The sequence below is a fragment of the Homo sapiens genome, chromosome 10 (genome assembly GCF_000001405.40).
Source record: "Homo sapiens chromosome 10, GRCh38.p14 Primary Assembly".
NCBI lineage: Eukaryota > Metazoa > Chordata > Mammalia > Primates > Hominidae > Homo > Homo sapiens.
The window spans coordinates 120,281,172-120,294,734 of NC_000010.11; the positions used below are offsets into that span (position 1 = coordinate 120,281,172).

Sequence of the window (13,563 nt, forward strand, 5' to 3'; positions counted from 1 at the left end):
GGAAAGCAGTGTGGTGATTTTTTCAAAGAACTTAAAACAGAATTACCATTCAACCCAGCAATCTCATTACTGGGTATATACCCAAAGGAATAGAAATCATTCTATCATAAAGTCACATGCATGACTGTGTTCATCACAGCACTATTCACGAAAACAAAGATAAGGAATCAAGCTAAATGTGCATCAGTGGTAGACTGGATAAAGGAAATGCACATATACACCATGGAATACTATGCAGCCATAAAAAAGAATGATATCACATCCTTTGCAGCAACATGGATAGAATTGGAGGCCATTATTCTAAGCAAACTAATGCAGGAACAGAAAACCAAATATTGCATGTTCTCATTTATAAGTGGAGAACACATGGAGAACACAAGGACACAAAGAAAACAAGAGACAACAGGGCCTACTTGAGAGTGGAGGATGTGGGGAGGGAGAGAATTGAAAAACAGCCTGTGGGTACTATGCTTATTACCTGGGTGACAAGATAATGTGTAAACCAAACCCATGAAACACAATTTACCTATAAAACAAACCTGCATATGTACCCCTGAACCTAAAAGTTAAAAAGTAAAAGTATTTAATTAAAAAAAAAGAAAAAGAAAACCAAGCAAACAGAAATTTGTATTATCGCCATCCTGGAAGCTGGAAGTGCAAGATGAAAGTGCCAGCATGGCCGCGTTCTGGTGTGGGCCTTCTTCCTGGCTTATGTCATCCCACTGTGTCCTCACATGGCCTTTGTTTGGTGCCCCTGCATGAGAGGTGGGCTCACAATCTCTGTTATCTCTACTTATAAGGGCACTAATCCCATTATGAGGGTTCTACCCTCATGACCTCCTCTGAGCCTGCTACCTCCTAAAGGCCCACCTCCAAATGCCATCCCATTGGGGGTTAGCGTTTTAACATCTAAGCTTGGGGGCACACAAACATTTAGTCCATATCACAGTCCAAAGGAGGCATTGTGGAATAGCTGACATCTCAGCTCCCAGAATTAGAGAGTTTTTTGGCTGGGCACAGCCATTTGTCTTTCAGAGGAATATGAATGCTCAGTACTGACCAGGTCAATTTAAGTGGGCCTTTGAAGACTTGCAGAGCAGGAGTCAGATCTGGCCCAGCAGCAATAAAAATGATAAATATCAGGACCTTATATGTATTGAGTGCTTCATGTGCTGTGCACTGTACATGTGTTATCATTAAATCTTCACCACTGTCCCATGAGAGGGGCATTGGCATCTTCATACAACAGATGGAAGATGGGTGCTCAGGGAGACACTGCAGGGTGCCTGGCTCCTGAGCAGTGGCTGTCTCGCTTGGAGGCTGAGATCGGTTTCAGGTGAGTTTACCTAGATGCTCAGGATCTGGAAAAGTGAACCAAGAGTAGGAGGGCCCCACCCCCACACCTGGAGCCAATTCATCCGTCCCTGAGGGACTAAACTCTAGGTTCAGGACCCCCCATTGGGACCGACGCCATCCCTACCTCCTGTCCCCACTACCAACCAGCTGTCATGGTGTCTGTCCAGGTGAACTCCTGGCTGAGGTAAAGGTGTTCATTTGGGTGGGCTTAGCCCATGCTGCCCACAAAGTGAAGCTCATCTCGGCGCATTCTGTTTCCCAGACTCCACAGCTGTAGGGGACCCGTGCTCAGCATAGCCCAGGTCAATGTTGCTCCTGCATAGAGAGTGATCCACAATGCACCTTAAAGCTCCTGAATGAAAACAACAACAAATCACAGTCCTTGCTTAAGGATGTTGTTATAAATGGGGTCCCTATGGTGCCTCTGTGGAAAAGGCCAGTTGGCAACTCATGTGATACAGGAGCAGATCTGCACTTAGGATGCTTCCTGCAAAATTAATGGACCTGGTTAACAGAGATCTCCATAAAATATAGATGGCCACAGTCCCCAGGGTGGAAATGGAAAGAGATCGCCCCTGCTACGGTATGTGATTTATTGAGGGCTATAAGTTCACAAGATGCTTTGCAGAATGTATAAAAAGATGAGGTTCCTGGCCCCAAGGATTGCAAGCCTAAGACGGAAATCATTGAGTATTGAAGTTCAAACTCACTGCAACCTGTGATCGTTATCAAGAATAGACTTTAGGCAGACAGGCTAAGGACAGCTGTTCATTTTGAGGAAGTGTTTAAAGGAGATTAAGAGTGATGATCTCTGAAGAAAGGCAGAATGTTAACTTAGAGCGAAACAAAAATGTATGTACATCTCGAAGGCCTCAGAGACAAGAAGCTGTATTAAATGTCAAATTAAAAGACAAGTCTTCAATGATAATAAATGCCTGCCTCTGTTAACATGCAGCAGAAGCCTGCCATGGGCTTGGTGAGACGTGGATTATTTCTGTTCTGATTAAATTACCTTGGTTATATCTTCTCTGGGGGCAAAAGCCTCCACATTTGAAAGAATTGTGGTTAAGCCTTAAGGTGAACTCTCTAGCCTGAGACAAGAATTTTAGGCATAGGAAGGAGCAGCTTTTAAACACACATACCTAAGCTGTTGTACTTAGTCTGATGAATTATAAAATGTCCCTACTGTCCCCTCCTCACTTCCACACCATCTCGCTTCTAGAAGCTTTGAAGAATTAAACTTGCACTTAAACATGCATCATCTGATAGATGTGACACATGTGTAAGTTATATTGTACAACCTCAAAGTATGTTAGTTATACTATTATCTGTTTAGATCCAGGTTTCCTTTTTGAAAGCTGTAGTTTTTTCAACTGATTCATATTCAAAATCACAGGCTGGGCTGACAAGCTATTACCTCACCCCAGACAAAATATCTAGTTGTATGTACAAAAAAGGAAAAAGAAAAGCTTCTTGTTTCTCAGTGCTCAGAAGAACACATTTTCTTTAAAGAAAATGCATGAGTTCTATGCGTTGCCCATCCTGCTGTGCTGAACTTTGTGTCTGCAAGAGTCAGTGGAATCGGAATCATTAATGTGTTTCAAAAGCTCCACGGAAATGGCTCTAAAGGAGAAGGTGCTAGCAAGCAGTACCCACGCATGCCTCCCTACATGTGCACATCTTGGTGGGGCCTCCTTTGAATGGTTCTGCAGGTGGTTTGGACACTGCTCAAGAGTCCCCTTGGCTGGCAGGCAACGGACCACTAGTCAGAAATAATTGCTTCTCCTCCTTTTCTTCTCTTTTCTCCCCACCTCTTTCCCTCTTCTTTAGATATTACATTTGAGGGGTGAGTTGGCTGTGGCCTCAGGACCCAGTGGAGTGCAGCCATAGCCCCCTGAAGACCCTCTTCACTTGCTCTTCAGAGGGTGCTGGAGCACAGTCGCTGAGCACTTCCTGCTACTGGGCCTTTGGATCTGAGAGCCGGGGCAGGCCTCCCTGGTAAAATGGGTTTGAGGACATAGAGGACCTTTGTTTCCTAAATCTAAGTGGCTCAACACTCCCAGCAGTCCACGGGGACTTGTCACCAGAGAGCACGAAATAGCAAGAGAAAGCCCTGTTTGGTCCCCACACCCAGGGCTGACATGGCCTGGCCGCTGTGTGGACAGAGTAAACCAAAGCCATTCATCTTAGAGGGGTGAGAGAAGAGACCTCTCACTCGCAGCTCTCACCAGTGAGCGTGGCACTGGCCTTGCCCTGGAGGCCAAATACTCCACCTAACAAAGGGTCCTTTCCACCGGGCAGGCAGCGTGGAGGGAGACAGAGAAGCCTTGAGATTCTTCCAGTAGAGCCCACTAAAAATCATCCTTGTATGTTATATCTTCTAGTACAACATCTGCTCTTTTTTGAGTGTCTCTTACTTCCACCACGCAGGAAGGCACCCGAGTGTGAATTCACACAATTCTAAAAATCAAAGCAAACAAAAAACCCCAAGACCACGCAAAATTAGGATACTGTATGTTTTAGATACTGTTATGGCATATAATTATTGAAGTCAAGATGTTCCTAATATGCCAGCGGAATTTATAGAATACTAGACGCTAGGTTCTATTTTCCCTTTATGGATGTGCTAAAAACAATGTCACTAGCTCTGTAGTGTGTTTTTGTGACATTATTTGAGGTTGTTTTGTCAAGATTGTTTCCGGTGGTAAACAGCTTCATTTTCTAAAAGCTTCAACTCAAATTAAGATCAAAGTGAAGACCTCTTTTTTTTCTTGAGTTTCCATCAGTTAAGTGTTTGTGAAATTTCAGGGATGAATTAATGGTTCAAAATGAAGCATCTTTTATTCTTCTTGCTTTCTTTCCACTTTTCCCATCCAGCTAGGCGGTGGCTGTGCCTGTCCCATGCTGGGACACCGGCCAGAGCGGGTCTTGCCAAGCCCACCAAAGCCTCCTCTGACTGCATGAGTTTCCTGTCACTGCTGTAACAAGTGGCAACAGACAGAGTGGCTAAAAACGAAACACATTTAGTATCTTATGGCTCTTTAGACCAGAAGTCCCATACAGGTTGTGCTGGCTAAAATAATTTGTTAGCAGGGCTGGTTTCTTTCCGGAAGCTCTAGGGGAGAACATATTTCCTTGCCTTTTCCAGCTTCTAGAAGCCACCACTCTCTCTCTCTCTCTCTCGAGGCCTACCTCCTTCCTGCTTCAAAGCCAGCAAGAGTGGGTAGGGTGCCTTTCACATTGATCTGTCTTCTGCCTCTTCTTCCATTTTTAAGGACTTGTGATTAGATTGAGCCCATCTGGGTAATTCTGGATGCTCATGCCTTCTCAAGGTCAGCTGATCCACAACCTTGGTTGCACCTGCAACCTTATTCCCTTTTGCCAGGTAAAATGACATATTGCAGGTTCTGAGATTAGGATGTGAACATCTTTTTTTTTTTTTTTGGTAGGGAGGTTGTTATTTGCCTACCACAGTGACCTAGGCCTCTCTTGTGGCTCTGTGTCCTGTGTCCTCTCTGCTCAGTCTAACTGTGCTGGGTGCCCACATTTTTCACTTTTTGAATGTACGTCAGCTTCTTTACCTGGCAGAATTCTCTCGGAGTTGTAGCAGGAGTGGCTGAAGCCTGGGGAAGCAGGGAAGCATGGTTAACCTGTAGAGGGCCCTGAGGTTGGAGGGGTGAGGTAGGACTGCAGAGAAACTGGGAATGGGAGTTCTGGGCCTTTATGGGAAAGATGGGAGAGCAGGACCTGCTAAAGGTGTGAGCCTCGTTAGGTACCTCTTATAGGTGTGGCCCTCCCTCACTAGCTACTTGCTGCAGGTGTGGCCCTCTCTCATGAAATACCTGCTGCAGGTGTGACCTTCTCTCACTGGGTACCTGCTGCAGGTGTGACTATCTCTCACTGGGTATGTGCTGCAGGTGTGGCCCTCTCTCACTGGGTACCTGCTGAAGGTGTGACCGTCTCTCACTTGGTATGTGCTGCAGGTGTGGCCCTCTCTCACTGGGTACCTGCTGAAGGTATGAGCCTCTCTTGTCTAGGAGGTAGCTCCAGGTGGTGGTAATAGGGTGTGGCAGTGTGGGATGCAGACCTGGGCCTGTGCGAAGCACTTGGGTAATCTGCAATGCCAAGAGCTCACTGCTGAACAGTGAGGACTTCCCTGTGCTGGCCCCGAGTCAGCAGTGCAGCCTAGCTGTCTATTCCCAGAGATCCACACCACCATTTACGCAGACTGTGGAAAAGGCACAGCAAATATTCAGTTTATGAAGTGGAGGCTGACAGCAATTTAGCCCAAGAGAATAATTGACTTAACTCTGCATGACCAGGGCCTAGGCATCCCCTTTCCCACATACAGGAAAATCTATTCTTGGCCGAAATTGCTGTTTGATTTTTCCTTCCATACTCTTATATTCCTGAAGGTGACAAATAGTTTTCTGACAAATACAAAATTTCTCTGATATCCTGCTGCCTGCAGCCTGATTGTCTTCTTCTTGTATATTAACGTGACTGCCCACAGCCTGGATTGATCTAGCTTGTTTACAGTGGGGTGAAGCCATTGATTTTAACCAAGTCCTCATTCTAGAAATCAGCAGAATGCATCCATTTTGGCCCCCCATCCCATTCTCAGAACATTAATCAACTCGCTAAGTAATTCAATTTATGGGCCCCAATTAGCCTCTCTCCAGAGACCCAGAGAATTGAGATGTACCGTTCATTGCCAAAAACTTTGAGTCATTAATTTTGAATCCTCATGTCCAAAGTTCAGGGAACTTATTCAATAAGACTTTAGATCATTTTCTAGTTGTTTCCTTTTGCATCACGTACTTCAGTACTTACAGTTAGTGGGCAAAGTGCTTTGGGCTAGAATCTCTTTGTTGAAAGGGGTCCTGGAGATCACCTGGCACCTCTTGTCTCCACCATTGCTGGAATTCCCTTTCTGATGTTTTTTCTAAGTCAGCAGTCCTCAAACTTCAATGTGTATAAGAATCACATGGAGAGCTTGCTTAAACAGTGTTCTGGGCCCCTGATTCTGACTCAGTGGATCAAGGTGGGGCTTGAGAATTTGCATTTCCCGCAAGCTCCCAGCTGATGTTGCTGCTGGTCCAGGGAGCCCATGTCAGGTGACGCTGCTCTAGGCAGAATTTTTGGGGGCAGCTGTGCAAGGAGAAGCTTCAGTGGGCTATTGGGAAGGAGGGCCAGGTGAGGTAGTCTCACCAAGCATTTTAGTACCACAAATGTTTTGCCAAGATGACTACTTACGGGAGATTCTAGGTAGAGACACAAGGCATTGGTCCCCCAAGAGGGTGGGAAAGGAGAAATGGAGGCAAACTAAAAACAAAAAACAAAAAAAGAAATAGATAAGCTGCATGTGATTCTTAACTGTGCTAGTCCAGTTCTGTGATATGCAGAAAGAATTTCTGGGCAATATATCTGGTTACTTTTTAATGTTTCTTACTTGAGGCCGGGTGCTCATGCCTGTAATCCCAGCACTTTGGGAGGCTGAGGTGGGTGGATCACCTGAGGTCAGGAGTTCGAGACCAGCCTGGCCAACATGGTGAAACCTCGTCTCTACTGAAAATACAAAAGTTAGCCAGGCATGGTGGTTGGTGCCTGTAGTCCCAGCTACTCGGGAGGCTGAGGCAGGAGAATTGCTTGAACCCGGGGGGCAGGGGTTGCAGTGATCCAAGATCATGCCACTGCATTCCAGCCTGGGCAACAGAGTGAGTCTCTGTCTCAAAAAAAAAAAAAAAAAAGCTTCTTATTTGAGTAATAATGACCACATAGACTATTTTTTTTTCCACCACCGCCACAGCTTTCCTGTTAATCCAACTCATTTAAGTTCATGTGTGTTCCTTTTTTCTCTAGACTTTTTTTTAGCAAGCATACCTTAGGAAACTGAACTTCGCTTGAAACTGAAACTACCCTCCCAAAATCATCTCCAAGGTAGGTAAAATTTTAATTAGTTTAATTTTCAGAAGTGCCTTAAAAATTATTCTGTTACGAATTGACATCAGTGAGCAAGGAAAGCCCTCCAAGTTCGTGATCTCCTGCCTGCACTTCCCATTTCTTACCACGTTTTGAAAGCTGACATTGTTTTGCCATGTCTCTAAGGGAACAATGACTTTGATGCAATGAAACTCTTTCTGAGGCTTAATATTAATGATAATCATCAACAAATATGTATGATATGCCCACGCAAAATGTCAAATGCTTTAAGCATTTAGAGGGGGTGGTATCCTGATTTTTTAATACACTTAAAGTATGGTTTATAAGTGGATTTGTGAGGATGCGATTTTTTTTTTTTTTTGAGGTGGAGTCTCACTCTGTCGTCCAGGCTGGAGTGCAGTGGCACTATCTCGGCTCACTGCAGGCTCCACCTCCTGGGTTCAGGTCACTCTCCGGCCTCAGCCTCCCGAGTAGCTGGGACTACAGGCACCCGCCACCGTGCCCGGCTAATTTTTTTTGTATTTTTAGTAGAGACGGGGTTTCACCGTGTTAGCCAGGATGGTCTCGATCTGCTGACCTTGTGATCCACCTGCCTCAGCCTCCCAAAGTGCTGGGATTACAGACGTGAGCCACCGCGCCCGGCCAGATGCAAATATTTATAGAACATTTTATTTGCTTTATAAGGTAGTTCACTAAAGGTTTTCCCTAAGTAGAAAATCCCCTCCTATTAAGATCTGATTTATTTTTTAAAAATTGGACACTATTTTTGGGAACAAAATGATTACGAAAATGAGGAATAGGCACAATGATGATCTGAGAGGTGAAGTAAACAGAAAGTCATAATTATGAGTTTGCTGAGTGTCAGGTTTTCAAGCTTTTTAGTTGTGTTGGCCATGACTAAACACTATTCTTTCTTGCATAAGAGTTTGAAGGAAGAGGTAAAACCCAAAAAGAGTCCCAAAGGGGATTCAATGGATAGACTAGGAAGGTGCTTGGAAAATTTGCAAATGATTTGGGGATGTGGTTAGGAAGGAGTATAGAAAACAAGGAGAAAGGAGAAGAGGGTGGAGAATTACATAGAAGACTACAACTTGATAAACTGCCACAAAAAGATAATGGTCTATGCCATAAATGATGCATTTGAAGCCAATTTTAATTTTCTTTCCATAGCTTCTTTTAAAAGTTGTAGTTCGTTACCTTTAAGCATAATTCCAGATTTTTAAAACTATCTCTATAAGGCTTTATTTAAATTCCACGAGAGCCAGTCCAGGAAGAAGAATCAAGCAGGATTCTTTAGTTCTAGTAATGACTTCCTCAATTCCCCACTGATTCACTTAGAGCTTTCTTTATTATTCCATTTTATTTTATTTTATTTTATTCTTTTGAGCAGCCATATCTGGAACAGAAAGCTTTTTCTAGGCCCCAAATATTTAGTGGCTGTGATATAATTCCTATTAAATGTTAAATGCTCACTGAACCCTTTCTTCTCAGCTTTCAGAGTAAATTATGACCACCCACATGTTCTGGGACCAAGTGTTTTTTGACTCGCAGCAGGATGATAGAGAAGTTGTCCATGCTTGATTTATTTCACAGCCCAGCAAGGCCACAGGTGCCTCACCTTAGTATTGCTAATTCCAATCACGCTGCAAAGCCGTGGACTGGGTGTCAGTCTTGCTTATTAAAGAGAGCCAGAGCATTCCTAATACAAGCCGAGGGGAGCAGCTTTAGAGAATTGTAGGACACAGGGAAAGTCAGCTCTGGTGCTCTCATACCTACCTTTATTTCCTGAGGTTTTGTCTTAAATACATTTCCCCTCTTGCCTTACTTCTCCCTCCACTAGGGAGTGCTTACTGTGCTTTGAGGTTCATTTCAAAGAGTGCTTTCTCTGAGATGTCAGCAATCCACCCCAGCGTAATTACACAGTCCCCTGGGTCATTCTACAGTTTTCACACATCTTTCTGGTGTGTGGTAGCAGTGGCCTCATTGTTTTTTGTTGTTTGCGTTTCTGTATTTCCAATTCCTAGCACAGTGCCTCTCAGGTGGTGTCTATTCAATGAAATGTTGAGTGTGCCTCTTCATCCATGTTTCGCATACACAACAGAGATCTCCACATGCCCTTTGACCTGACCTAGGTCAATGTGTACATGGCATAAGCATGCAAGTTTCAACTTTTCATCCAGATGCATTGGTGCTCTATAGGCAGAGCCCAAATCACTTATACAAGGACAGAATGGTCTAGAGTTAGACCTGGATTCAAGTCCCACCTCTTTCTTTTGCCATTTAACCTTGGACAAGCACTCTCCTATCTAAGGCTGTTTCCTCTTCTGGGACAGAAACAGCACCTGTCATGAGCTTGATGAAATAATGCATGTAATATGCATGATCTCATGACCAGGACTTAACATGAGAGTCATGGAACCTGGACCTGAATTCTTTCCCCTCTTAAAATGTGCCCCCAGAACACACACAAATGACTATTTTTGTAATGTGTATTTCAAGCTATTTGCTCTTCTACCCAGATTATCCAGCTAATCTGCTTTTAGCTCAGTTCTAAAAATGGTTGTCAAATATCATGTTTCCTCTCATTTTTATTCAGTCCGTGAAGTTTGCACTAGTCTTAAGAACAGTTGACCAGCAATGCCTCTCTCTGTACAATGAATCTGTCTCCCTAATGTATGAAGGGTCCTATCATTCATGGCTTGGGGGCTACTGGCTTCCATTGAATATAATGCTCTTTTCCCAGGGCCAGTGTCAGGGGCTTACTCTAAGTGTGGCCCATCTTCTCTTGGTCTGTTGTGATTTGAGCCATCTGGTGACCTTAAAGAAAAATGGCAGAGTAACGATGGATCTAGGTGAACCCATCACTGACACTGAACAAAAACACCACGGAATAAAAGCCAGAACACAGCAGTAGCAGCATCGTCAGCATCAAGAGTGTGTCTTCCTGAGCGAAGGATTAGGATGGTTCCTCTTTACAGGAAAAAGTTTAGAGTCATAAAATGCCAGATTGTTGAAACCAGAAAAGAAATCTGTTGATCTCAGGAGTCCTTCCCCCAACTTTGCAGATAATAAAATTGAGAACCAGAGAGGAATGGAAGTAGCTTTCCTAAGACCACCCAGCGAATTAGTGGGAGAAACAGGAAAATGGAATCTAGAGCTCATGACTCCCCCGGTCATTGTTTTTCCCCAGAATTTATGGCTCTTTGGCCTAAATCAAAATTATTTTGAGATCCCCTGTTGTATTAGTCTTTTCTTGTACTGCTATAAAGAAATACTTGAGACTGGGCAATTTATAAAGAAAAGAGGTTTGCTCACAGTTTTGTAGGCTGTACAGGAAGCATGATTCCGCTATCTGCTAAGCTTCTAGGGAGGCCTCAGGAAACTTACAATCATGGTAGAAAGCAAAGGGGGCATGAACACCTCACATGGCTGGTGCAGGAGGAAGGGGGGAGAGATGCTACATGCTTTTAAACAAACAAATCTCATGATAACACACTAACTATCATGAGAACGGCACCGAGAGGATGGTGCTAAACCATTCGTGAGAACTCTGCCCCCATGATCCAATCACCTCCCACCAGGCCCCACCTCCAACACTGGGAATTACAATTAAACATGAGATTTGGTGGGGACACAGATCAAACCATATAACCCATAGACCTGGATGTCTATGAACACCAGAAGTGAAGGGAAATCAAATTTAGACATTTCTCTTCCTTCTCTAAACTCTGGTTCACTACTTGATCTTTCTTTCTCTTAGACACTTGGTCTGCCTATGCTCTGGTTTCTAGTTAGGGGAAATGCCATGACTCCTTTCAAGATGTTTTGTCTCCCCTAAGAACCTCAATGTCCTTGGTGTCTGCCCCACAGACATTTACCATCAATGTTCCTAAATGTTAGCTCAAGGAGCAAGTAAAAAAATGTGTGAATGAACATTGCTCTGACCTTGTTTCGAAATCAGCCCATCTGATTTACGTTAGTATTGCTCTCATATCCTATCTGACCTGAATAGAAATTATTTTATGCCTAATGCCTTTTTAAAACTAGTATTGAAATCTCGTACTTTTCTGGGAATTTGAAACAAGTAATGGTGGCCCTAAATTAAGTATAAGTGATGTGTAAATTTAGATTTTTTATGATTACAAACAATTCTTAACATATCCCTTTTTCTTTGAAACCAAATTTATAAAGAGAGTCTATGCTTCTTATTTTTGAATGATTAAGACCTTTATCAACATTTGGATCTTGTTCGAAGTTAGGAATATTATAGCTTAGCAGTTAAGAGAAAGGACTCTGAAATAAAGCTTACTCTGTTTAGATGCCTATGCAGCCTCTTACTTCCTGTGCATTCTTGGGAATCTATTTAAACTCTTCCCAAGCTTTAATATCCTCATCTGTGAAATGAAATAATAGGAGGTATTTCATAGGGTGATTGTGATAATTGATGCAAAGGATGGATGCAAAGTAGCTGGCTAATATCTGTCACATAGTAAATATGCAATAAATATTAGCTATGATGATGATCATAATGATAAAACATATTAATATGTGTGTAGGAAAAAAAGTGCCATTGAATAGGAAACTTGTTCCTGAAAAGTTGTTCCCAGAGATTTCCGGCAATCTAATAAATGATTTCCATCCTCGTATTGACTTTATGTCCCATCAGCTGAGGTGGAAATGTTTCTTAGAATTCCTTGCCATATCTGGTTCTGGGTTAGAGTGGGTCACGAGAGGAATTTGCATATGATTTAGAAGCCGAGATAAAGTGGTGGCCATTGTGTACTGCAGGTCAGTGTAGAGGGCATCCGATGGCCTCTCACCTTGTTACTGGCTCAGTTTATTGGCACAGGGCAGCAGATGAGCCCACACCTCCTGTAGTTCCCACCAGAGCTCCTCCACCAACTTCTCCAGGTCCTGGGGCAGGTACGTGTGCAACTCCATGGCAAGGGATGCCATCTCCTTCTGCTAGTGACTGTATCATCAGGTTACTGTGGTGAGTGGCAGACACACATTCCAGTTCGTGTTGTGGGTTCCAGTCTGTCCCTGTGTGATCTAGAGAGTGTCTGCAGTTTATGTCTTGTCCTTGATCTCTCCCTGTCTTCATGTCCAGCTTTTCTTCCTGACTTCATTCCTGCCACCCCATAGTGACGTCAAACTTATCACCAGATGCAAAGTCAACAGCCTTTTTAGACTTTTTCACCTGCTCCTAGTTTTGTAGGTGACTATGTAGTTTCTGCCATAGAATAGTTTAGTGAAAGTCAGGAACTTAATGGTTAGGTTGGTTAGCTGTAAGTGAATTGGGGTGGAAGTGTCTGCAGGTTCTTCCGGACAACATAAAATGCTTAATGACAGGCCACCAAAGGACCATGTGACCTGAGCAACCTATTACAAATTGGGTATTGTCTGACCCACTAAGCCATAAGTGGTAAAGGAAGATAGTTGTACCAGCTTGACTATGTGGCCAGCTGCAGAGACTATAATAGTTAAGAGTGTTTCTTCCTTATTTTGATAGACCTATGTTTGTGTGCATATTAACTGTTTTCTTCTCTCCTTCCTCATTCCCTTACCATCTTACCTAAGATGTATTAATAGTGGTTAACTTTTTTTTTTTTTTTGATACAGGCTTTCACCCTGTCACCCAGGCTGGCAGGCTGGAGTTCAGTGGCACAATCATGACTCACTGCAGCCTTGACCTCCAAGCTCAGGTGATCCTCCTACTTCTGCCTCCTGGGTGGCTGGGGCTACAGATTTGTGGCGTCAAGACCAGCTAATTTTTGGGTGTTTTTGTTTGTTTGTTTGTTTGTTTTTTTGTAGAGATGGGGTTTTGCCATGTTGCCCAGGCTGGTCTTGAACTCCTGGGCTCAAGCAATCCACCCACCTCAGCCTCGCAAAGTGCCGGGATTACAGACATGAACTACTGCACCTGGGCTAATAGTAGTTAATCTTGTATCTCAGTATTTAAGTTTTAGATATTCACAAGGGGAGTTTGACTCAGCCAAATGAGGAATGAATGTGACCCAAAGATGGATAAAGGGTCTCTGTGTCTTTTGGGAAGTGTGTTTTCAGGTATACATGTGAGGAGGAAGAATGATTTTGCTGCCTTTTTTATTTGGAAGTTAAGTACGGCTAACAGAGGTGTGTTTAGATGCCAAGTTGACAAGGGCTGGACTGTGGTAGCTTTATTATCTGTCAGTTTTTCTAAACTAAACCTTTCAAGAAACAAGATAAAATTATTCAGCATTAAGCTGCTGCAGGTGACTTTGC

The 13,563-nt window shown here is 43.5% G+C and overlaps 1 long non-coding RNA gene across 2 annotated transcripts in view; it reads left to right on the forward strand.

Annotated features, from left to right (window-relative positions):
- LOC105378515 (uncharacterized) overlaps nucleotides 1-13,563 on the forward strand; it is a 164,918-nt gene that overhangs the window by 108,552 nt on the left and 42,803 nt on the right. The window contains exons 6-7 of one of the 2 annotated variants that reach the window (XR_001747605.1): nucleotides 7,219-7,296; nucleotides 12,922-12,962. This is a non-coding gene — a long non-coding RNA (uncharacterized LOC105378515). Of the gene's footprint in view, nucleotides 1-7,218; nucleotides 7,297-12,921; nucleotides 12,963-13,563 lie in introns of those variants that run through there. The other variant, XR_001747606.1, reaches the window with a different exon arrangement.